The sequence below is a fragment of the Homo sapiens genome, chromosome 13, assembly GCF_000001405.40.
Source record: "Homo sapiens chromosome 13, GRCh38.p14 Primary Assembly".
In the NCBI taxonomy this organism is placed as follows: Eukaryota; Metazoa; Chordata; class Mammalia; order Primates; family Hominidae; genus Homo; species Homo sapiens.
This window is the reverse complement of record NC_000013.11, coordinates 72946361-72973253: the sequence shown is the minus strand read 5'-3', so window position 1 is coordinate 72973253 and position 26893 is coordinate 72946361. Positions and strand designations below refer to the sequence as shown.

The following is a 26893-nucleotide window of genomic DNA, read 5'->3' as shown; positions in this document are numbered from 1 at the left end:
TGGAGTGCAGTGGCTACTCACAGACATGGTAACAATGAACTACAGCCTCAAACTCCTGGGCTCAAGCAATCTTCCTGCTTCAGTCTCCTAAGTATCTGGGACTACAGGCATACATCACTGCACCCAGCTTTTCTTCTCTTAAGAATCCATTTGACAACGTAACTGAGATGCTGTCTGAGAATAATTTCCTGCCTAGTATAGGCATAAAATTAATGTTTTAAAGATGACTATTTACTACTAAAATGTAAAAAGATAAAGAAACTCACATAAAAGGTAAGAAGTACTATGTCAGCAAACTATTACAACACAAGATACTAGAAGACAAATTAAAACATCCTTAAAACTGAAAGTAATATTTTACAAACTAAATTATCAGGTATATAATTGAGTTAAGTAAGTGAATCAGGTATTTAGTCTGTGATAAACTTGAAAAAAGAACGTTTGTCTCCAAATTATTAGTTTGATTTTCAATTTCTGGCCTGGCATGGTGGCAATTATCTAATGAATGATTACAATAAAAAAGACAAAATTTGTGAGGGTAAAACTAACAAGAATTGTTTTAAATAGGTAAAAACATTTTTTTTTTTTTTGAGACGGAGTCTCGCTCTGTCACCCAGGCTGGAGTGCAGTGGCGCGATCTCGGCTCACTGCAACCTCTGCCTCCTGGGTTCAACTCATTTTTCTGCCTCAGCTGTCTGAGTGGCTGGGACTACAGGTGTGTGCCACCATGCCCGGCTAATTTTTGTATTTTTAGTAGAGATGGGGTTTCACCATGCTGGCCAGGCTGGTCTCGAATTCCTGACCTCACGTGATCTGCCCACCTCGGCCTCCCGAAGTGCTGGGATTATAGGCGTGAGCCACCGCACCTGGCCGGTAAAAACATTTTTAAAGTTCTACTTAAGTTCTACTTTAAGAAAATGGAGGCAGGGCACACTGGCTCATGCCTGTAATCCTAGCACTTTGGGAGATCGAGGTTGGAGAACTGCATGAGCCCAGGAGTTCGAGCCTAGTCTGGGCAACACAGAGAGACCCCCATCTCTTAAAAAAAAAATGTTAGCCAGGTGTGGAGACATGCACCTTTAGTCCCAGCTACATCAAAGCATGAGGTAGGAGGATCGCTCGAGCCCAGGAGTTTGAGGCTGCAGTGAGCTATGATGCTCCACTGTATTCCAGCCTGGGAGACAGAGTGAGGCTCTCTCAAAAAATAAATAAATAAATAAATAAATAAATAAATAAATAAATAAATAAATGAAAGCCACTAATCTTTAGAATAATATTTGGCAGACTTTTTTTTTTTTTTAATTCAAGAAACAGTAGTAGGCAATCTGCAGCAACTGCTAATTCAAAGGACTTAAGAGGGAAAGCCCACATTCTTCTCCTTCCAAGTAATCGAGAAGGAAGCATCATAGTTTGTCCTCTGAGGAGACGGACTAGATGCAATTTTGACTTCTGTTCCCAACTGTGCCACTGACTCAGACTCAAATGTGTGCTGTAAAGCATAACACATACCACCCCACTGAACCTCAGTTTTTATATCTGTAAAAGTAGAACATAATACTCATGTATGTCAAAGGACTATGTGAATGATTATATAAAGTGTTGAACTCATAAAACTATATAAATGTTATACAGTGTTACTAATTTAGATAAAAAAATAGGCATCAGAGTAAAACAGTAATTAAATGCCAATAAAGGTAAGCAGCTCAGCTGAAAAACAAACTGACTTTTAGAGTTAGGCGCCAGAGATCCCACAAGAGCTGAGGAGTTGAAAAGAACAAAACAGTATAAAGGAAACTGAGTGCCATGTTCTGCTAGAGTCTCCAAAGCATGGTAAGGATCACATGTTTCTCTAACTCTAGAATTCTAACCACCTCTTTAGCTGGAATCACTTTGAAGGCAAAATATTTTTCAAATTTAAATATCCAGTAAATAGGACTAGGAACTTTTAAGGAACATGTATGTGTCTATGTTCATATACATGTATACACTTATAACCACGGTATATAAGCATATACTCACATTCAGTGCATACACACACACACACACATACACACACACACACACACACTCACTCTCTGTTTCAAATACCAACTGGCTCTTCTAAAGAATATGTAGTGTAATCGGAATGGAATGTCGAGGTAATTAAAGGATTTTGACTGGATAATTCTTCACAAATGCTTTTATATTGTCGTGTTTTAACTTTTCAAAAATAAAGTATTCTATAATTAAATAGCAAAACAACCGTATATACATGGAATAAATGGTGGGGGGATAAACTGGCTTACAGAACAATTATGTTGCACCTGTAAGACATGAGTTTATTACAAACAATGTGGACTTCCCAGACAATATTGCTGTGATTACAATATCTGGGCATATATTTTGTCTTCTTTATAATATACTCGAACCACAGGGAGACAACCTTTAACATGTGGGTCTCTAAAACTGAATATGATGATTATTATATTCACTCTTCTTCTAGTATGTATTTACTCAATAGAATTTTAGTCTTCATAAGACATATTTCATAACAGTGGAAACTTACCTTTGAAAATACAAAGCTTCTATGAGTGACTCATAAAACAACTACAAAACAAATCTCCTTGTAAGCACATCTATCTTGAATGGTATATTACACCCATAATTGTTAAATTCACTGTTAATTATTACTTAGAAATTCATGTTTATGGCTCTGTTTCACCTGCAATACGAAAACATTCCTGATATATTGTTCCTTAACTTCCTGGATCAATACACTCTGGGATAGCTTTGTAAGGGAAGTTGGCAATGTAGTCTTATCTTTAACTACCAGTTAAGAATAAACTGAGAACTGACAACAGGCAAAGAAAATTATGCTAATTATTCTCTTTCCAAGCTTCCTTCCTTTCTGAAGTAGAGATCAAACTGTATTACACAGAGTGTCTCTTGTGGCTTGGTGGAAGAAAGTTAACAGTACTATTTTTATAATAAAGTATTACTTTAATGATAGGAGAATTTAAAGCAGTTAATAGTGACATCTCAAATGTTAGCTTTTAATGTGTTTATGATGATTTCATTTTAGTGAATATTTACTCTAGCCTTTCTAGAAATTGAATATATTGTATAAATAGTTGATTTTCAAGGGGTAAGTATGGTATAGTGGTATTGTTTAATTTTCTAAGAAAAGCATACAATTATTCAGTTCTTCAAAGAGTTTTTATTGAATTAGAAAAACATTTAAAAATCATCAATTGATGTAAATATTTTTACAACTAACATCAACACCTAGCAATGAGGAATAGGAATTTTCCTGTTTATGTTTTCTAAGGAACATAATAACTTGATAACGCTTTTGGATGGGCCATCATTAATGTTTAAATTTCAAATAAAAGACAAGGGGAGGGAAGTAACATTTACTGAGATTCTCCTACATGCCAAAGCTTTATATATGCCCCTAAATTTAATTTTCACAACTACCCCTTCGGGTTCATATTAATATCTAATTTTACAGACACATTTACCATAAGGAGAGAAACCAGCCTGATGTGTATTTAAAGCCCAGGATAATTCCACTCTAGGATTTGAAATGCCATTTGCTTCGAGTAGGGATGAAGGAATGTGGGTATACAGAACTGTGATCTATCCTACCATATCTGAATTACTGGCTGAGCTGACTTTTTAATGGCATTGTTACATCACAGCATTTCATTCATGTCACCAGGGTACACCTATAGCAACATCTCAAGTGTTGTAATTAAACTACTGAAAGTATTAATAACTTTTCACTTTAGAAGGTAGTTGCTTCAATTAAGAATAAGATTTCATATCCTGTGAATTATCAGTTCAGAATGTACTAAAATATCACACAATTAATTTATGAAACACAAGACAACATTAAAGGACTCATGTTTAGTACAAAATTTTTCTTGGTAATTAATTCCATAAATGACATGGCCTTTATGAAAACCGTTGCTGTTATTAAGGGAGTCTTAATTTTTGTTGAAATTCAACATATTTTGAGAAATGTTATTTCTCATTTTTAATATAATTTTCAACCAAAAATTTGTTACATGTATGGTAAGTACTAAGAATGGCAAACATTTATTGAACACTGTTGAATATAATGTTTAGGCACTATTATATCTGTGTATATTATGAAGATTATATCATTTATTCCTCAGAACAACCCTATCAATCGGGTGCTGTTAGGACCACTCTCATTATTTTTATTTTTATTTTTTTTTTGAGACAGAGTTTTGCTTTGTCACCCAGGCTGGAGTGCAGTTGCTCATTGCAACCTCCACCTCCCAGGCTCAACTCATCCTCCCACCTCAGCCTCCTGAGTAGCCAGGACTACAGAAGCGTGCCATCACACTGGCAAATTTTTCTGTATTTTTTGTAGAGACAAAACCAAACATGGTTTTGCCATGTTGTCCAGGCTGGTCTCGAACTCCTGGGCTCAGGCAATCTGTCTGCCTCGGCACCACTCTCATTTCACATATGAGGAAACTGGCTGTACTGTGCAATACCACAGCCATTGGCCACTAGGGCAATTAAAATTATCTTTAATTTTAATAAAATTAAAAATAAAATTAAAGATAATTTAAACAATTTAATTTTAATAGAATTAAAAATTTAGTTCCTCAGTAACAGTAGCCACATTTCAAATGCTCAGGTTGGGTGTGGTGGCTCATGCCTGTAATCCCAGCACTTTGGGAGGCCAAGGCCAGCGGATCATTTGAGGTCAGGAGTTCAAGAACACCCTGGCTAACAGGGTGAAACCTCATCTTTACTAAAAACACAAAAATTAGCCGGCTGTGGTGGTGGGTGCTTGTTATCCCAGCTACTCGGGAGGCTGAGACAGGAGAATCGCTTGAACCTGGGAGGTGGAGGTTGCAGTGAGCCGAGATCGCGCCATTGCACTCCAGTCTGGGTGACAAGAGTGAAACTCCGTCTCAAAGAAAAGAAAAGAAAAAAAAGAACAACAACAACAACAACAACAAAACCCCAAAACAAATGCTCAACATCTATATGTGGCTAGCTAGTGGCTACCATACTGGACAGCACTGATGTAGAATTTTTCTTTTTTTGGAGACGGAGTCTGGCTCTGTCGCCCAGGTTGGAGTGCAGTGGCGCAATCTCGGCTCACTGCAAGCTCTGCCTCCCAGGTTCACGCCATTCTCCTGCCTCAGCCTCCCGAGTAGCTGGGACTACAGGCGCCCGCCACTACGCCCGGCTAATTTTTGTATTTTTAGTAGAGACAGGGTTTCACCGTGTTAGCCAGGATGGTCTCGATCTCCTGACCTCGTGATCCGCCCGCCTCGGCCTCCCAAAGTGCTGGGATTACAGACTTGAGCTACCGTGCCCAGCCAGATATGGAATATTTTTATCATTATAGAAAGTTCTATTGGACAACAGAGGTATTAGAGAGTTTAAATTACTTGCCCTAACTCAAAACTAAGTACTGAGTTGAATTTGAAAACTTCCTTTTAAAATCTGTTTTTTAAAAAATTTTATTATAGAATATTTCAGAAGAGAAAATATGTAATAGCAAACCCTGATATATCTATCACCCCGCTTCAACAACGATCAACTCATTAAAGTGCTACTTTTAATCACTATGATACACTACTTTTTTGTTCTCTTCCTTAATTATTTTAGCTAAAGAAATATTATCCCTTATTCAGAATAGAACATAGAGGGGCAGTATAACCTAATGGTTAGGAGAATAGAATTAGCAAGCAGACAGATATAAAATTGAATTCTTACTCTATCACAATGTTGCATGTTCTTAGAGGACAAGTTGCTTAATTTCTCTATGGCTGAATTTGTTCATCTTTATAATTTTCTCCTACAGCTAGCTATTATTTTCTCTATATTAAACATTTTAAGCTACCTTAATTCTTAGTAAAATAAATAATCAAATAAATTTGTTTGGAGATAACTGTGAAAGGAGTAATTTTTTTCCTCAGGATTTTTATATACCTCCTCATCACAAGAAATAATGGTAAAATAAGACATATAAAAGATTCAAATTTTAAGGCCGGGCATGGTGTCTCATGCCTTTAATCCTAGCACTTCGGGAGGCCGAGGAGGGCAGATCATGAGGTCAGGAGTTCAAGACCAGCCTGACCAACATGGTGAAACCCTGTCTCCACTAAAAATACAAAAATTAGCTGGGCGTGGCAGCGTGTGCCTGTAATCCTAGCTACTCAGGAGGCTGAGGCAGGAGAATCACTTGAACCCGGGAGGCAGAGGTTATAGTGAGCAGAGATCACATCATTGCACTCCAGCCTGGGTGACAGTGAGACTCCGTTTCAAAAAAAAAAAAAAGATTCAAAATTTAATTTTAATTTTAATTTTTTTGAGACAGAGTCTCACTCTGTTGCCCAAGCTGGAGTGCAGTGAAATGATCTCAGCTCACTGCAACCTCCGTCTCCCCGGTTCAAGCGATTCTCCTGTCTCAGCCTCCAGAGTGGCTGGGACTACAGGCATGCATCACCATGCTCAGCTAACTTTTGTATTTGTAGTCGAGACAGGGTTTCACTATGTTGGCCAGGCTGGTCTAGAATTCCTGACCTCAGGTGATCTGCCTGCCTCAGCCTCCCAAAGTGCTGGGATTACAGGTGTGAGCCACTGCGCCTGGCCAAAAAATATTCAAATTTAACAGAAATATGTAACATAGGAGGAAAAAATTCTATTTGGGGTTCTTTCTTCAATTTCCCTAAGATAATCAGGTGCCCAGTGAATTGTGAAAGACATAATTTCTATTGTCCCCAAGAACTATTTATAGAACAATTAATTTATTATTGTAGGTTGTATACAGAATTTTTAACTTTAAAATTAATCTAGAAACAAACTTATTTATTTTGACACATTTAAGGTATAAATGTGCTCCTAAATTATTTAAACAAATCATAAAAAATTAAGAACAGGAATAAAGTTCTAGACCAATTATTTTGGTGGGGTAGAAATGAAAGAAGGTAATTACTGTGATTCATTAAAAATAACATTTATACTTTGGAATTAGTTACCAATAGGTTTATATTTTTGTTTGCATACTTTAAGAAACCTGGATTTAACAACCATCTTCTCCTTATTGTTTTCCAATTCCTTGATTTAACCATTTCTATTCCCACTTAATTCTCTGCTTTTACATTGATAATCAGTTAATAATTTACCCATAAAAATCTAAATTATTCTTATAATCTTGGAAATCTAGTAACTAAGCAAACTAACCATCTATCCACAAGTAAAACTGTTTCATTTACACATATCTTCATTCTTTAATTTCAGTTTAAAAAACCAAACTGGTCATAGCAAATTTTTTTTGGATAAGATCTCATACAGAAACAATTACAAATTAAGGAAGTGAAAGAAATTTATTTATTTACACTTAAAAGTTACTTTCATGTAAAAGGTCAGAAGAAAAGCCTAAAAATTCCTTGGAAAAATCAACATAAATCTAAGTAAATGTAAATTTTTTGTTGTTGTTGTTTAAAAAGCCATTTTAACGACACAAATGGCATCTGGTTTTATTCCTCCTCTCCCTCTGGTCAATCTACACCACACTAAAGAGTTCTAGGGAAACAAGGACCAATAGCGGTTGTGTCCTCTAGGATAGATGGAATGTTATGCTCATAAGTGTAACATTGTTATTTCCATGCTAAGACATCTGATCACAGGTGGAATGTGAACACCTGATGTGATGTGACCTTAGTTTTTCTAAGAAAAGTTTAATATTCATTACATTTAAGACACCTTCATTATTTAAATTTTCTGTTCATGATTTACAACCCAAATTCACCTACAGCAGCAATATGGTAACAATGTCTTTATTATTCAAATAAAAGATTTGTAGATGGTTTACCTGACATCTTTCTCAAGTTGTGCAATAGATTCCGTCAGTGAATCAATCTTAGAATCTCTCTGACGCACTGATTCAATGAGATACCTGTAAGGCTGTTGAGTCTGGTTTAATAGCGAATTGGCTCTGTCAAGCTAAAGAAACACAGGTTTCATTAAAATCTAGAAAATGTGACAACAAAATAAAATCATTCAAAATGCTCTAGCACAAATATAGTACAGAAATTCCTTTGACATGAATTATTCTGAAAAGCTTTTCCTGTGTAAATTTGAAGGTTTTAAGAGTGAATCAATATAGCTATTCTTAATAGCAACTATAAACAATAATTTTTTTTGTTTTCTTTTTTTTGAGACAGTCTCGCTCTGTCGCCCAGGCTAGAGTGCAGTGGCGCGATCTCGGCTCACTGCAACCTCCGCCTTCCAGGTTCAAGTGATTCTCCTGCCTCAGCTTTCCGAGTAGCTGGGATTACAGGTGCCTGCTACCATGCCCCACTAATTTTTGTAATTTTAGTAGAGATGGGGTTTCAGCATGTTGGCCAGGCTGGTCTTGAACTCCTGACCTCAGGTGATCGCCCACCTCAGCCTCCCAAAGTGCGGGGACTACGGGTGTGAGCCACCTCGCCTGGCTGAAAAAATTTTAAATAAAATATTAATAGCAATTTTGAGAATGCATAAACTTAAATTTTCTTAGTATTTGTCTTGGTCTGAAAAGCTATATGACATAAAATATATCTTTTTAAAATGGAAACACTTAGCTAAAAGTTAAACTCTTTTATTTCAGCTTTACTTCTACTAAAAATATTCACACCATAATTCAATAATTTTTTCATTTCTTCATATTCCCTTGTTTTAAAAATACATAATTTATATATCCAAATCATTATGTATAAATTTTTGACAAATGTGTTTTAAAATATAATGTAAAATTTACCATTTTAATCATGTGAAAAGTGTACAATTCAGTGGCATTAAGTACATTCATAATGTTGAATAGCTACCACTTCTATTTCCAGAACACTTCCATCAGCCCATATGGAAACTCTGTACCCATTAAACAAAAACTCCCCATTTTCTCCTCCCTCCTGGCCCTAGAAACCTGTATCTTACTTTCTGTCTCTGTGAATTTGCCTATTCCAGATACCTCACATAAGTGGAATAACACAATATTTGTCCTTTGCTGTCTGCTTATTTCACTTAGTGTGACGTTTTCAAAGTTCATCTATGTTGTATCATGTATCAGAACTTCATTCCTTTTAATGGTAAATAATAGTCCACTGTATGTTTATAGTACATTTTGTTTATCCATTGATCTCTTGATGAATACTTGGGTTTCCACTGTTTGGCTATTGTGAATAATGCTGCTATGAACATTGGTGGACAAATACTGTATATCTTGAGTTCTTGTTTCACTTCTGTTGGGTAGCTACCTAGAAGTGGAGTAGAACTGTTAGGTCATATGGTAATTCTATATTTAACTTTTTGAGGAACTGCAACGGTTCCACAGTGGTGATACCATTTTACATTCCTACCAGCAAGAAATTTGATTACAATTTCTCCACATCCTGGCCAAAGCACATTATTTCATGTGCATACTGGGCATTTGTATATCTTCTTTGGAGAGAAGTCTTCCCAAGTCTTTTGCTTGTATTTTAATTGTGATTTTTCTTGTTGTTGTTGCTGAGTTGTAGGAGTTCTCTATATATTCTTAATAATATAGTCTTATTAGATATGTAATTTGCAAATATTTTCTTCCATTTTGTGGGTTGTCTTTTCACTTTCTTGATAATCTTATTTATTTACTTACTTACTTATTTTGAGATGGAGTCTTGCTCTGTCACCCAGGCTGGAGTGCAGTGGTGCGATCTCAGCTCACTGCAACCTCCGCCTCCTGGATTCAAGAAATTCTCTTGCCTCAGCCTTCTGAGTAGCTGGGATTAGAGGCGTGCGCCACCATGCCTGGCTAATTTTCATATTTTTAGTAGATACGGGGTTTCACCATGTTGGCCAGGCTGGTCTCGGATTCCTGACTTCAAGTGATCTGCCTGCCTTGGCCTCCCAAAGTGCTGGGATTACAGGCATGAGCCATTGGGTCCGGCTGATAATCTCCTTTAACTCACAATTTTTTATAATTAGGAAATTCAATTTATCTATTTTATGTTTTTGTGCTTGTCCTTTTGCAGAAATTGCCAAATCCAAGGTTATGATTTTCTCCTATGTTTTCTTCTATGCATTTTATACCTTTAATGCTTAAATTTAGGTCTCTGATCCAGTCTGAGTTAGCTTTTGAATATGGTGTAAGGTAAGGGTCCAACTTCATTCTTTTGCATGTAGATACTCAGTTTTACCAGCCCCATTTGTTGAAAAGACTGGCTTTTCTCCATGAAATGGTCCTAGCACTCTTGTTGAAAACGACTGGCCATATAGGCAAGTGTTTACTTCTGGGCTCTATTCTATTAATATTCCGTGGGTTTTTATGTCCATCCTTATTCTAGTTGCACACTGTTTTGCTGACTGTAACTTTACAGTAAGTTCAGAAATCTGGAAATCTGAGCCCTACAACTTTGTTTTTCCTTTTAAAGATTGTTTTGGCCATTTAGGGTTCCTTGAAATTCCATATGAATTTTAGGATCAGTTTTTCCATTTCTGTAAAAAATGCCATTGGGATTTTGACAGGGACTGAATCTAATTTGTAGAATGTTTTGGGTAGTATTATCATCCTAACAACATTAAATCTTCTAATCCATGAATATGGGATGTCTTGTGTCCATTTGGTTAATTTATTCCTAAATGTTTTCTTCCTTTTTTTTTTTTTGAGACAGGGACTCACTCTGTCACCTAGTCTGGAGTGCAGTGGCAACATCATGGCTCACTGCAGCCTACCTCCTGGGCTCAAGTAATCCTCCCACCTCAGCCTCCTGAGTAGCTGGGACTACAAGCATGAGCCACCATGCCCGGCTAATTTTATTTTATTTTTTATAGAGACAGAGTCTCCCTATGCTGCCCAGGATGGGCTTGAACTCCTGAGCTCAAGCAATTCTTCTGGCCTTGGCCTTTCAAAGTCCAGAGCCATCATGCCTGGCTGTATTTTTTTCTTTTTGATGCTATTGTACATGGAATTGTTTTCTTAATTTCCTTTGTCAGACTGTTCATTGCTAGTGTACTATATACAATTTTATTTTGTGCCTTTTCACATAACCTATACCAGAATCATTTTTCTAGATTGTTAATAGTATGGTATTTATATTATTAGCGGTTACAAAACTGCCTACCAAAGCCAATGTATCATAATTTACACTATGTATAGTAATAAATTATAAGTCAGTATAAACAATATATAAAAATTTACATAATTTATGTTAGCATAAACAATATTACAACAAATCTTTTCAGTGCTGTAGTTTTTTTTCTTAAGTTAGTATTTGCTTTGTTAATTTTTTTTCAGGATAGAAGACACACTAGGCTAAGGGGTATGACTATTTAATGCTCTTAACACACAAGACAAAAGTTTTCTCCCAAAGGATTTTTATCAACTTATATATACACAACCATAGTTTTAAAAAATTTACTTGTTTTTGTTCTTTATTTTTTTTCCTAAGCAAATGGTAATTGTATGTCACTACAAAACTAAATAAAGCATTATCAGTGTCAGCAAGCTCCTACTTTGGTATATAATGAGTTCTTGAAAAAGGTACTCTATAGTTGGATAATCACAACAAAATGGTGGATATCTATTATTAGGGTGAAAGGGTAAGGAAGGGGGTATTTATTACACAAAACAAAATGACAGAATTCCTAACTATTCTATGACCTTTAGATACTATTTGGCGATAAACGTCTAGCCTTTTATATATGTTTAAACATTTTTCCATTCTTTTTGTCATAATTGCTAAAAAGTTCCATTAAAGATTTACTGTTTTCCTGGGACAAGAAATGATTTGTATTTTTTTCCTCAAATGAATTATGTTCATGAGATCTATATACTTTTAAAGTATTAAGACCTTTAAGAGTATACTTTAGCATATCAATTTTTTGGTTTTCCACTCATTTTAATAAAATAATGAGTGATTAGAAGCCCAGGAGCTGAAGAAGCAGGGAACAGTGGGATGGATATAGTGGAAAGCATGGTGGGAGGCAGAAAGAATCAAGGATAGTAATGAGAACATTGTTAAAATGATCAGCCATGAGGTTGGCTGGGTAAGGAGGACACTGAAGCCAAAAGGGGGCTGACCAACTGTTAGAGGATGTCTGCTTGCACATAGAGAACTATTCTGTAAAAGCATTTATTCATCTAAATTGTACAGGAAATTTTCTGATAGTTATATTAACTACAGCCCAGGAAAAAAAATCTTCAAAAAAAAATTAAAAAAAAAAAAAGAAGGAAATGAATAGTGAAAGAAAAGAAGGCTACTTTTTTGGGGGAACACATTTCATTATAGTGAAAGTGGAGCCATAAAGAAAAAAATACCATGAATAGCTTCTATAGTTTGGGTTTTAGAATGTTTTTTTTCTTTGCTTTGGTAATTATTCTTTAAAATATATTACAATGTCACTGGAATCTTATTATTTTACTAAGTTACTTTATGAACATTCAAATATGCAGCTGGACAAAAATAAAACTAAGTTCTACTAACCTGTATAACCAGTTTGTCTAGTCAATTAAATCAAACAATTGCCTTGGCTTTGTTTTCACAGAACTGACCCTGACTGAATAAACTGAACTGACAAGTTGCTTTGTGTTTCAAAGTGCAGAACAGTTCAAGTGTGTGTGTGGGGAAAGGGTGGCAGGGAATAACTAAGAACATTTATGAATTTCAGTTAACTTCTGTCTAGAATGAGCTGTTTAAAACATACCAAATCTAATTTCAATTGCACAAAACATAACAGCAGCAGTCTCAATTATTTTAGTTGCACAAAATATACAGCAGCAGTCTCAATTATTTTAGTTCAATTTTTTCATGAAAGTAGTTACATATATTAGGTTTTAATATATACATATATTTTTTTGAGACAGGATCTCACTCTGTTGCCTAGGCTAGAGTGCAGAGCCACAGCTCACTGCAGCCTCGACCTCCCAGACTCAAGTGATCCTCCTACTTCAGCCTCTTGAGTCGCCAGGACCACAGGCATGCACCACCATGCCCGGCTAAAGGTTTTAGTATTATAAACAAAGTTAAGGGCCAGAAGCCTTACTTTCAAAAGGTATCTTTAACATAAAACCTATAACCGCCTTACTCTGGATAATAAATACTATAATAATGCTGTTAGTGTTACAGATACATTTCTTTATAAACCTGTTTGTAGGCTTCTAAATCCCCAAAGTTGATTTTCATTTGTCAGGAAAAAAGTACATATCTCTGAATAAAAAGTGATGCTAATTCCATGTTTGAAATAAACATAATTTATTAGAATTTAATTCCTTCAATAGAGTTTTCAAAAATCTTTCTGTACCTATAATAATTACTATTCAAAAAGTTTTGCAATTGCTCACATTGCCTATTGTTAGTAATCTTTTTCTTATAGGAAAGCCTTAGTAATTAGTGACTCAGGAATCATATACGTAATAAGTGACTCTAGATAAAACCCATGACACAACATTTTACAGAAGTGTTATTCTTCCTTTGTTTCAATAACCTGTACATATGATTCAGAGAAAAGTAACCCCTGATTAAAACATCATTATATCTTTTGATTCAAGTACTAATTTAACTTAGATGAGAATCTAAAATTACAATTTTTCTCTTAAAATTCAAATAAACTAATATAAAGGTGACTACATTTTGCTGCATGTTTTTCCTACATGTGGAGTTTTTTTCCTTGGGGAGTTTACTTTCACAGAAACTAGAAATGAAGTTCTTTATTGCCAGGAATAAAATGAATACTGCTGAGTGGAATTTAACATTGAGTTGCTTTCTGTCTATAAAATATATGCAAGTGATACTTTCTAGCAGTGGTGGTAGTTTGTACAGAATCAGTCACATATCCTTGCTTAATCTTTTTAATCGTGCTAGGAATGAAAAAGGCCTGCTTGAGGTCCGATAGGGGGGCAACACTTTGGTACAACTTCTCTATGTTCTCAATTGCTGGGGAAAATGTAAAAAAAAATAGTGATTTCTGGCTGGGCGTGGTGGCTCATGCCTGTAATCCCAGCACTTTGGGAAGCCAAGGTGGGTGGATTGCTTGAGGTCAGGAATTTGAGACCAGCCTGGCCAACATGGCAAAACCCCGTCTCTACTAAAAATACAAAAATTAGCCTGGTGTGGTGGCGCATGCCTGTAATCCCAGCTTCTTGGGAGGCTGAGGCACAAGAGCTGCTTGAATCCAGGAGGTGGTTGCAGTGAGCCGAGATCACGCCACTGCACTCCAGCCCGGGTGACAGAGGAAGACTCTGTCTCAAAAAACCCAGAAAAACAAACCAAAAAATAAGTGATTTTTGGGTCCTACTAGTGATTCTGGTGGGCCCCAGTCCTACTGAATCAAAATTTCTCAGGGTTGGGTCTCAGATTCTGATAATCAGCCAGATTTGAAGAATACAGTCCTAGTGATCTTGGACTTGATGTAGGCCACTCCATCCAAATTAGTACGTAAATCATTTTACGTCTTGAACTTGTAATCCTCCCTACTAATACCAGTTCCTTCTCTCATGTTCCCACGTGATTAACATTATCATCTTTAACAGCGGTAATATTTAACTGATACATTTCAACCAATTAAAATATTGGTGAAACTCTGTGTCTCAGGTATGACCTCTTTGTCGCTGGATTACAGGCAGGTCTCAGGAGAGGGGCCACAGGACAGATGAGACTGTGGTGGAACGGACAGTGGGATCTTAGTGTAGAGCTATTTACCAGTGTTTCTGCTAGTATTTTATTATGTCAATAATTAAAGCAAGGACATGGTAGTTGATTATCAGCTCCGCTTTTGGTCTTAAGATCCACAAAGTATGGTCCAAGTAAGGAAAATTCATGAATGGGATGTTAAAATACTTGAGAGTAACCAGCATGGAAGTGATGACTGAAGTCATTGAAGTAGATAGAACTATAGAACATTACTACTTCAAATTGTGGCCCTGCATTCCTTTTTTTTTTTTTTTTTTTTTTTTGAGATAGGGTCTTGCTTTGTCATCCAGGTTGGAGTGCAGTGGCGGAATCATAGTTCACTGCAGAGCTTGTTAAAAATCCAGATTTCTGGACTTCATTCTAGACTTACTTAATCACAACCTCTGAGGGCAGGATCTAGAAGCCTGTTTTACATTTTAAACAAGAATCTTACGTGATTCTTTTTTTTTTTAAGAGGCAAGGTCTTACTCTGTTGCCCAGGCTGAAGTGTGGTGGCATTTCAGCCTCAAACTCCTCGGCTCAAGAGATTTTCCCACTTCAGTCTCTCAGGTGGCTAAAACTATAGTGCATGCCACAACAACTGGCTAATTGTTTTTTTCTTTCTTTCTTTCCCCCCTGCCCGAGATAGGATCTCACTCTGTTGCTCAGGCTGGAGTGCAGTGGCGCAATCACGGCTCACTGCAACCTCTGCCTCCCAGGTTCAAGCAATCCTCCTTCCACTTCAGCCTCCCAAGTAGTTGGGACTATAGGTGTGCGCCACTGCATTCAGCTAAGTTTTGTAGTTTTTTTTTCTTTTTTTAGAGATAGGGTCTTGCTATATTGCCCAGGCTGCTCTTGAACTACTGGCCTCCAGTGATCCATCCTGGCCTCCCAAGTAGCTGGGCTTAGAATTTTATTATTATTTTTTTATTTCAAGAGTTTTTGGAGAACAGGTGGTATTTGGTTACATGATTAAGATCTTTAGTGGTGATTTCTGAGATTTCGGTGCACCCATCACCTGAGCAGTGTACACTGTACCCAATGTGTACCCTTGTATCCTCCACCCTGCTCCCACCCTTCCCCATGAGTCCCCAAAGTCCACTGTATCATTCTTATGCCTTTGCATTCTCATAGCTTAGCTGTGACTTGTAAGTGAGAGCGTATGATGTTTGGTTTTCCATTCCTGAGTTACTTCACTTAGAATAATGGTCTCCAACTCCATCCAGGTTGTGTGAATGCCGTTATTTCATTCCTTTTTATGGCTGAGTAATATTCCATGGTATATATACATACCACATTTTCTTTATCCACTCATTGACTGATGGGCATTTGAGCTGGTTCCATATTTTTGCAATTGTGAATTGTGCTGCTATGAATATGAGTGTGCAAGTATCTTTTTCGTATAATATCTTCTTTTTCTCTGGGCAGATACCCAGTAGTGGGATTGCTGGATCAAATGGTAGATCTACTTTTAGTTCTTTAAGGAAGCTACACAGTTTTCCATATTGGTTGTACTAGTTTACATTCTCACCAGCAGTGAAAAAGTTTTCCCTTTTCACCACATCCATGCCAATATCTATTTTTTAAAAATTTTTTTCATTACGCCATTCTTGCAGGAGTGAGGTGGTATCACTTTGCAGTTTTGATTTGCATCTCCCTGATAATTAGTGATGTTGAGCATTTTTTACATGTTTGTTTGCCATTTGTATATCTTCTTTTGAGAACTGTCTATTCATGTCCTTAGCCCACTTTTTGATGGGGTTTTTTTCTTCCAGCTAGAATTTTTGATGATTCTTATACTCACTGGGCTTGATTCTAGACTTCGTCTAATGTTTTAGAATCTCTCCTGAGGTGTAAGAACAGAGAAAAGGGCAGGCACCCGAGGGACACCTACATTTAAGGGCTAGAAGATGAAGACATCAGCTAAATAGACTAAAGAGCCATCAGAGTTACAGGACGAGAGCCAGGGAGAATTGTGTTGTAATGCCAAAACAGGACAGAATTTCTAGAATATCCATAATGCCATGCCACAGATAGATCAAATTGTATAGGCTCTGAGAAGAAAATGCTGGCCATTCAGAGGTCATTAATGACCACTGAGGAGAGTGTAGCTGACATGGGAGGAGAGAAGAATAAATTAAGCACAAAGATAGGGTATTAACTTTTGAAAGTTGCCTATGCCAATACCACTTCCCCCATGTATGTATGTGTGTCAGTGGTGGTTGGCATTTGGTCACACACACACATACACACACATACTTTGAAGGGGGTACTAAAGAGGAGAAAAAGGGTAAGGAGAGATACTGAAAAAAGGAGACAGATAATAGAATTGATAGCTTTGGGATTAGAAGTGATCTGCAATGGAGATAATGGGAAATAGGATGGAGACAGAAAAATAAAAACACTGGGCAACAGTAGTTAAGGGCCTAGTTGATATTCAATAACATGAATTCATAATGCTTCCAAGCAGGACGAGTCACACAGATTTCCACAAGAATTTTTCAGTATTGTTACTGCAAAACCTAAGAATTTTCTCTCTCTTGCCTTTCTTCCATTAAATATTTATAGGCTAATTATCAGATTGTAAGATAATATGCTAAAGGTAGAAATTGTCAAGAAAAGCCTGCTGTATAAATTTGGCCACAAAGCAATCTAGAGAGATGGTGAATTCTAGTACTCAGATGGCTGACAAAGTCCAAGGATAGGCAGGAAGAAAAGTAAAACGAGGAGGGGCTTGACAGATTGGAAAAATATGGAAGGGCTTTATGAGACAGGGACTTGTAATGAGTCCAAATAAAGTACAAATTTAGTGGGAATGAAAGAACTAGGAGAGCTGGAAGGAAAGGAGATTAGGGTTAGAGAACAGAATTTGAGTTCAAGTGTTTGCAACTTCTTTCTCCTTCAAAGCTACCTTTGAGAAATTAATTTTAATGTGGTTCAACTGTATAACATTGCTGATTGGGATGTGTGTGTGTGTGTATGTATGTGTGTGTATAAAGAATTTGCATTGTGATTTTCAAATAGCTCTGAAACGAAAAAAATTATAGTCACTCATGAGTTTTCGAGGAACAACCGGCAGGTAAAAAATTTAAACAATTACCTTATTTGTTTGACGTATAAACAGAATATAATTTATAAATAAGTCATTGTTTTTCCCACTTCAGTGGTGGTTGGCATTTGGTAATGTGCACATACACACACACACACACACACACACACAAACACACACATTTATATGACCTGGTGTTTGCACCTATACAAGCATGATTTAAATAACAAATACTAGCATACTGTCTGGATCCATATTAACTGAATTTTTTCCCAGAATGAACCATAACCAAGACTTCCTGGATTAAGCACTTGGCAAGGTTAGACACAGAGCTACTACTACAATGAAAGTGAAATGTTTTGTCCATGTAATGAATCAGCCATTCATATGGAAGATAAATGTTATGTCCAACATAATTAAAATATTACTTTATATGTAATTCCATATCAGAACAACCTCAAAAATAAGTAACAGAGTGATAACAGTTAATAATAATTTCTGAGCATCTGCCCTCCCAACTCCAGGTCCTATCTCCATTGCTCTGTTTCCTCCAATCCTAGAGGATCCAGGTGGCTCTGCCACAGCCTCTGTGGCTCTGTGACCTGCAGATACTGGGAGTACTGTAGGGAGGATACCAAGACATGATGGTGGACTGGAGACAGTGTTAGCATACCTCTCCTACTTGGAAAAACAAAGTATGTGTAGAGATTCACACTGTGAACTTTTTTTCACAAGAAGCAACACAAGAATTTAACAGAAGAACTGAAAAAAACCACAGATCCTTTAAAAGAAGTGGTGGCAGCAGCCTACACTGTGAACCAGATGGAAAACTCTGAATCTCCAGAGCATAAGATGGGGAGACTCAGCCACCAGAACACACACTCCCACAGCAAAGCTGGGCAGCCCAGGCCACAGGGGAAGGCCTTAACCCTACTCAGTATGGGAGCCAATTTAGTGAGCGTGGAGAATACATGAGAAGGAGTGGCATCAGGATGTGCTTTGCACGCACTACCAGATTCCAGCGGGGATGGAGGAAAGCCATTCCTGATCCTACCTCACAGAAGTCTGCTCAGTAACTCAGGCTGTAGTAACAGGTTGAAAAGAGCTCCTGAGATTCGCAATATGATTTTAAGTGGAGACTAACCCTGTCGGCCAGAACCAGGGGGCTGGCATGAAGTGTGCTATAGTGCAGAAGTTGGGCGCCCCTGCTTCGCAGGTGGATAGGGAGGGGCATGGCCTGAAAGCCTGGTTTCTATCGCTGGCAGGAAGGCTTACTGCTTGGGGCAGTTTTGTGTTCTAAGTGTAGACTGCCTGGAACACAGCTAGTTGCTGTTAGCAGAATACTGAGGGTATGGGACTTGCTGTGCCAAGTGCATGGGAGCTGAGTGGGCCTTACTGCCTTCTACTACTCCCTCCTGCTCCCACTCCCTGTGTGGATTCTTCTGTGCACCAGAGGCAGCTCTGCTCCCCTCTGGAACATTACCCCAGTGGCCAGAAAGCTGTTCTCTGATCCCCACTGGGGACACTGCTTGTGCTTGTACCTGGAGAGCCTGAGTGAGGACTTGCCTGGTCCAGTCCTCACCAGGCTTTGCCACTTTATGAGCCCTGGTAGCATAACACAATGGACAGGGATATTTGGAGGCTCCATAGCCCCGCCCATTGCCTGAGACCCCAGAGTGCCTGCCCTGGGTAACATAAGGCAAGCACAAATTCCACTACTACCACCGCACCTGGTACTCTTTTGCAAGCACCACCTCCTGGCTGGTAGCCAGGCACAGCCCATTATGACACCTGAAGGCAGAATAACACAGCACTCAGGAAGGAGAAAACTTCTGCATGCCCTCAGCTGTTGCCATTGCCTGCATTGCCTCGGCTAACCAGGAGGTCTTGAGTCTGTCCATGTGCCCAGTACATTACTGCTACTGCTGGCATCTGAGAAAGCCAACACTAAGGTTATTTGTAACTAAGGAAATCTCAGAGTCTACGTCACTCCTCTCCTACCCCCATCAGAACTGGTGCTGGTACCCGCTGCTGGGAGAGTAGAGGACAGGTCACATCACTGGATCCTTGGCGGATATTCTCCAGTACCATCCTGGAGTGTGGGAGTCCCACTGAGCAGCTAGACCCAGAGGAGTAGCAGGATTCACAGTAGTCTGGCCCTCCAGGTAAAGGGGGAGTGCCGCACATTACGGAGGCACCGTGTGGGACAAAAGAAACCAGTCTGCAGGCCTTGAGTCCCTGAACTTTCCACTTGTGGGAAGTTGTTTTTCATCAGAGGCACAGGTGCAGTGCTGGGCTCATAGGGGGAAAGTCTACATGGAACATCAGTATTCCTGCAGATGAAAAGAGATGCCTTTCTGATTTGAACAGCTGGAACAGCAGGTCAGGAGTGTGCCTGGGAGGTGTATTACTTTCCTGTTGGCCTGGAAGGAGAGCTGTGGTGGCTCCCTCCCTTCTCCCTGAAAAGACCTCAGTGCATTTCATACACCTTCCCCAGCTGCTTCTGTCAAGGCTGGGAGCTCTGCTCACTATTAAGTATGGCATTTATCCACCTGCTTTAGTAGAAGCTGGTTTTTACCTATGGGCACCTCCTACTGGCCTCAAGCTTGCACTGTTCAACCATGTGAATAAAATACTGGGGATTTTTTTTTTTTTTCTTAAGGGCACATCACTAGGGAATGAGAGAAGCTTCATGAGACCTCTGCCATTCCAGCCCCACAGGAGACAGTGAACCTGCTCACAAATCCAGCACATCACTACTATCATCAGCATCTGAGAAAGCCATCACACAAAGATTCTCTACAACTAAGGAACTCAGAGTCTTCACACTGAAAATGCTGAGTCAAAGCTAGCTAAGAAACCATAAAGTCACATCCCCAACGAGTAAAAAAAAACTAAAAAAAAAAAAAACTCAGTTGAATTAGAAATAAATAAGTTCCTTCTCACTGGGGTAGACAAAATAGTCTACCCCAATAAGAAGAAACCAGAAAAATAATTCTGGCAATATGAAAAAAACGGGATTATATAACACCCCCAAAAGATCACAACAGCTCTCCAGCAGTGGATCCAAACCAAGATAATACTAGATAAATAATTTGAAATACTAGACAAATAATTTAAAAGGCTGACTAATAAGTTACTCAAGGAGATATGAGAGAAAGGTGAAAACCAACATAAAGAAATTAAAGCTGGGCCGGGCATGGTGGTTCACGCCTGTAATCTCAGCACTTTGGGAGGCCAAGGCAGGTGGATCACCTGAGGTCAGGAGCTTGAGACCAGGTTGGCCAACATGGCAAAACCCTGTCTCTACTAAAAATACAAAAATTAGCTGGGCATGGTGGTGTGTGCCTGTAATCCCAGCCATTTGGGAGACTGAGGTGGGATAATCGCTTGAACCTGGCAGAACAGCTTGAACTGAGGAGACAGAGGTTGCAGTGAGCCGCGATTGTGTCACCGCACTCCAGACGAGGCAACAGAGCAAGACTCCATCTCAAAAAAAAAAAAAAAAAGAGAAAAGAAAAGAAAGAAAGAAATTAAAAGAAATTAAAGCTGGATGCAGTGGCTCATGCACCTGGGGAGGCCGAGGCAAGCGGCTCACTTGAGGCCTGGCCAACATGGCCAACAAGACCAGCCTGGCCAATATGGTGAAACCCCGTCTCTACTAAAAATACTAAAATTAGCCAGGTTTGGTGGTGCACGCCTGTAGTCCCAGCTACTTGGAAGGCTGATGCATGAGAATTGCTTGAGCCTGGGAGGCAGAACACGGGATTTTTAGGGCAGTGAAACTACTCTGTGTGATAATATAATGACAGACACATGTCATTATGCATCTGTCTAAACCCCATAGAATGCACGACACCAGCCAGGCATGGTGGAGTCTTCCTAACTTTTGGCAACTGCTGTTTTACTGACTCCATAGTTTTGTCTTTTCCAGCATGTTACATAGTTGGAATCATACCGTACGTAGCCCTTTCAGATTGTCTTTGCCTATTTTTAAACGTTACCTTTTCTCTTCTGTCCTGTTTTTCCACCCCTTAGATATTATAAGACACAATCTGTTTTTAAAAAAATAAACCCCTGCATTTTCTGAGGAAATATTTCAATGAAAGTTGCTTTATTTGGAACTTAACATTTTACAAATGAGGACACTGAAACCAAAGAAGTTAAAAAACTTTTCCAAATTTACATAGCTAGTAATTGCCAAAGCTGAGATTTGAATCCAGTGAGTCTGGTTCCAGAATCATGTTCAGGCAATACTTGTTACTGCTTCCCAATAACAAAAAATAAGGCAATTATTAAAAATAACCCAGAATGTGAACACAAAAGAATCCCTCTCCCCTACGACCCGAAGATAAATAAGGTGTATTAAAGGCACACGCATGTGTGCACTGATGTGTGTGTACACAGGCACACACACAAATGATAAATAAATGTGACTAATTATCCACAAAGAAATATGCTTCACAACCATTCTTCCATACTAGAGATATCTGATTGCTTTTTGCCTGAATACCTACATTCATGCAGCATCTATAGGTCTGATGCCTTTTTCCTTGCTGATTGGCCACTTTCAGAAGAAACTTAAAAACCACGGCACTCACTTTGAGCCTCCTACATGCCCAGTGGGCTGGGAACTACAGGCAGGATGAACTGTCCGCAATCTTCTTCATTGCTTGTTTTTCTTCATATAACCCGTTAGGTTCTAAATGAGTATATATTTCACTTGACAAAAAATCTCTGTTTCTCCCCAACTCCAGTATGAGCACCAAAGGGCAGGAATTTCTGTGTCTTATTCACTAATCATCCCCAGAACCTAGAACAAATGCCTGGCCCATAATAGGTACTCAATAAATATTTGTTGAAAGAATGAATTTGATATTAGTACTGCTTAACACTTAACAAACATTATTACTAAACATACTTTATTTCTTATGATGAGCTAAATGGCATGACGGGCTAGAACAGTTTACGGTAACACTACTTTTATAAGTTATTCTAAGGCAAGTGCTCTGTGTATAAAAAGCCATAAATAAACAAATTTATTTGAGAAAAAGTAACACGGTTTCTGCAGTGGGAATTCTTGCTATTTATTGCAGTTCCTCAAGAACTATGTAACTGAGTGATTAAAATGTTAACACATAAATAGGAGGCCTTCAAAAAAGTCAACAAAGTTCAAAATAAGATTTTTCAAAGGAAATCACTATTGAATTGGAGGGGTACCTTTTTTTGAAGACGTGGTCTAAACACCTCTCTAGATAAAGAATGAAAGTATTGGGGTTCTCTGAGTCTTAGCCATATAGCTGTATTATAAATAATTCGGAGGAATAGAGTACAGACTAGAATTATTCAAATTTGTAAATGATACTAATTCCAACCAACTAAGAAAACCACAGCCAATTTGTTCAAGATTGCTCAAAGGGGCAGAAAAGGGACAGGACAAAAATATGGGGATACATAACAATTATTTCAGCAGTACGCAGTATTAATTCAAAATGATATAGAGGTTGGATTAGCTTGCTCCTACACATAGTAGACAAACACGTCTAGGAAGCATTCTGGATATTTATACAACAGTCACACCCGATGACTCCATATTTCTCTAGTATCCTTTATAATCATTCTTACTTTTTCACCTTTCTTTTTCAATTCTAAAACTGATTTTTCATGAAGGCTTCCATAAGATGAAAATATTACACATTTATCCAAATGAGTGTTTTCACACATAGGTTGCAAACAGTGTTAAAAAAATAATAATAAAAAAAGAAACAGAACAGAATAGCAACTAATAGAATGTACTGTACATAGTAAGGATATTGTTTCAGATACACACACACACAAATACACAACATATATTTGGGCACTGGGTTGCTATGTAAGGTACACTTCATACTACAGGTCATGGTCAAAAAAGTATGAAAGCTATTCGTTAGCTGGGTGCCGTGGCTCACGCCTGTAATCCCAGCACTTTGGGAGGCCGAGGCGGGCAGATCACCTGAGGTCAGGAGTTCAAGACCAGCCTGGCCAACAGGGTGAAACCCTGTCTCTACTAAAAATACAAAAAATTAGCTGGGTGTGGTGGCACACACCTGTAATCCCAGCTACTGGGGAGGATGAGGCAGGAGAATTGCTTGAGCCCAGGAGGCAGAGGTTGCAGTGAGCCGAGATTGTGCCAGTGCACTCTAGCCTGGCTGACAGAGCGAGACTCTGTCTCAAAAAAAAAAAAAAAAAAAAAAAAAAAAAAAAAGACAGCTATTTGTCTAGGTAGTAGTTACATTTTTAATTATAAAGGATTATATTTACATACAAATCAGCCCCAATCTTCCAAATCAGTCTCAGGTCAACTTTGTGGCCAGTTTTCCAAAAGCTTAATCACTTAGTGAAAATGTGATTTCAAGAATGGTCATATCATATATTACAGTATTCAGTATGTTCTCTGTTTTTCTTCTTCAATATGTTAAATATAGCTAATAACACATCCATCAGGAACCTAAGAGTAGACTGATTGTATTTGAATCATTTTTGTGAATTCTTTGATTCTTCTTTGATATACTTGTTGATATGGTTAGGCTTTGTGTTCCCATCCAAAGTTCATCCTCAACTGTAGTTCCCATAATCCCCACATGTCATCAGAAGAACCTGGTGGGAGGTATTAATCATGGGCGTGGTTACGCTCATGCTGTTCTCGTGACAGTGAGTTCTCACAAAATCTGATGGTTTTATAAGGGGCTTTCCCCCCTTTGTTCTGCACTTCTCCTTGCTGCCGCCATGTGAAGAAAGACATGTTGTTTGCTTACCCTTCCACCATGATTGTAAGTTTCCTGAGGCCTCCCCAGCTCTGTGGATCTGTGAATCAATTAAACCTCTTTCTTTTATAGATAGCAGTCTCAGGTATGTCTTTATTAGCAGCATGAGAATGGCTTAATACAGTAAATCAGTACTGGGTAGTGGGGCACTGATGTGAAGATACTTGAAAATGTGTAAGTGACTTTGGAACCGAGTAACAGGCAGAGATTAGAACAATTTGGAGGGCTCAGAAGAAGACAGGAAAATGTGTGAAAATTTGGAGCCTCCTAGAGACTGGTTGAACTTCCTAGAGCTTTGACCAAAATGCCAATGGTCATATGGACAAAAAGGTCCAGGCTGACTGAGGTAGTTTCAGATGGAGATGAGGAACTTCTTGGGAACTGGAGTAAAGGTCACTCTTGCTATGCAAAGACACTGGTGGCATTTTGCTGCTGCCTTAGAGATCTGTGGAACTTTGAACTTGAGAGAGATGATTTAGGGTATCTGGGGGAAGAAATTTCTTTTTCTTTTTTTTAAATTATACTTTCAGTTTTGGGATACATGTGCAGAACGTGCAGGTTTGTTACACAGGTATACATGTGCCATGGTGGTTTGCTGCACCCATCAACTCGTCTACACTAGGTACTTCTCCTAATGCTATACCTCCCCTAGCTCCCCACCCCGAGACAGGCCCTGGTGTGTGATGTTCCCCTCCCTGTGTCCATGTGTTCTCATTGTTTAACTCCCACTTATGAGTGAGAACACGTGGTGTTTGGTTTTCTGTTCCTGTGTTAGTTTGCTGAGAATGATGGTTTCCAGCTTCATCCATGTTCCTGCAAAGGACATGAACTTTTTTATGGCTACATAGTATTCCATGGTGTATGTGCCTCATTTTCTTTATCCAGCCTATCATTGATGAGCATTTGGGTTGGTTCCAAGTCTTTGCTATTGTGAATAGTGCTGCAATAAATATATGCGTACACGTGTTTTTATATTAGAATGATTTATAATCCTTTGGGTATATACCCAATGATGGGATTGCTGGGTCAAATGGTATTTCTGGTTCTAGATCCTTGAGGAATCGCCACACTATCTTCCACAATGGTTGAACTAATTTACACTCTGGGGGAAAAATTTCTAAGAGGCAAAGCATTCAAGAGGAAGTAGAGCATAAAATTTGGAAAATTTGCAGCCTGCCAATATGATAGAAAAGAAAACCTCATTTTCTGGGGAGAAATTTGAGCCTCTTGCAGAAATTTGCCTATGTAACAAGGAGCAAAATGTTAATTGCCAAGACAATGGTGAAAATGTCTCCAGGGTATGTCAGAGACCTTCACAGCAGCCCCTCCAATCACAGGCCTGGAGCCCTAGGAGAGAAAAATGGTTTCCTGGGGCCAGGCCCAGGGCCCCCCTGCTCTATGCAGCTTCGGGACATGGTGCCCTGCATCCCAGCTGCTTCAGCTCCAGCCATGACTAGAAGGGGCCAATGTACAGCTCGGGCCAATGTACAGCTCAGGCCATTGCTTCAGATGGTGCAAGTCTCAAGCTTTGGCAGCTTCCACGTGGTGTTGGGCATGCAGGTAGGGGTACAGAAGTTAAGAACTGAGGTTTGGAAACCACTGACTAGATTTCAGAGGATGTATGAAAACTCCTGGATGTTCAGGCAGAAGTTTGCTGCAGGGGCAGAGCCCTCATGGAGAACCTCTGCTAGGGCAGTGCGGAAGGGAAATGTGGGGTTGGAGCACCCACAAAAAGTCCACACTAGGACACTGCCTAGTGGAGCCGTGAGAAGACGGCCACCGTCTTCCAGACCCCAGAACTGTAGATCTACTAACACCTTGCACTGTCTGCCTGAAAAGTTGTAGACACTGCCAGCCCATGAAAGCAGCTGGGAGCAGGGCTGAACCATGCAAAGCCACAAGGGCAGAGCTGCCCAAGACCGTGGGAGCCCACCTCTTGCATCAATGTGACCTGGATGTGAGACGTGGAGTCAAAGGAGGTCATTTCGGAGCTTTAAGATTTGACTGTCCTGTTGGATTTTGGACTTAACATGGGGCCTGTAGCCCCTCCATTTTGGCCAGTTTCTCCCACTTGAAATGGGTGTATTTACCCAATGCCTGTACCCCCACTGTATCTAGGAAGTAACTAACTTGCTTTTAATTTTGCAGGCTCATAGGCGGAAGGGACTTGCCTTGTCTCAGATAAGACTTTGGCCTTGGACTTTTGGGTTAATGTTGGAAAGAGTTAAGACTTTGGGGAACTGTTGGAAAGGCATGATTGTGTTTTGAAATATGAGGACATGAGATTTGGGAGGGTCCAGGTGCAGAATGATATGGTTAGGTTTTGTGTCCCCATCCAGATCTCACCCTGAATTGTAGTTCCTAAAATCCCCATGTGTTGT

At 38.9% G+C, this 26893-nt stretch overlaps 1 protein-coding gene across 11 annotated transcripts in view, besides 1 other annotated feature; it reads right to left on the bottom strand.

Moving 5' to 3' along the window:
- The window catches only part of PIBF1 (progesterone immunomodulatory binding factor 1), a 234329-nt gene that overhangs the window by 43208 nt on the left and 164228 nt on the right, over positions 1-26893 (bottom strand). For 7 of the 11 annotated variants that reach the window (NR_146205.2, NR_146206.2, NM_001349655.2 and 4 more), the window contains one exon: positions 7850-7980. The exons of 2 other annotated variants lie outside the window; for them this stretch is intronic. Coding sequence is in view for 5 of the 9 variants with exons in the window: in NM_001349655.2 (NP_001336584.1) it covers positions 7850-7980 (131 nt within the window). In the remaining 4 variants the exon portion in view is untranslated. Of the gene's footprint in view, positions 1-7849; positions 7981-26893 lie in introns of those variants that run through there. 2 more of the 11 variants (XM_047430046.1, XM_047430048.1) reach the window with 1 other exon arrangement.
- Positions 12269-12770: an enhancer, noted in NCBI's record as "NANOG hESC enhancer chr13:73534622-73535123 (GRCh37/hg19 assembly coordinates)". NCBI's record gives its function as "activates a minimal SCP1, AML or CMV promoter by ChIP-STARR-seq in primed H9 embryonic stem cells {active_cell/tissue: H9 hESC(primed)}" and the evidence as "EXISTENCE:reporter gene assay evidence [ECO:0000049][PMID:30033119]".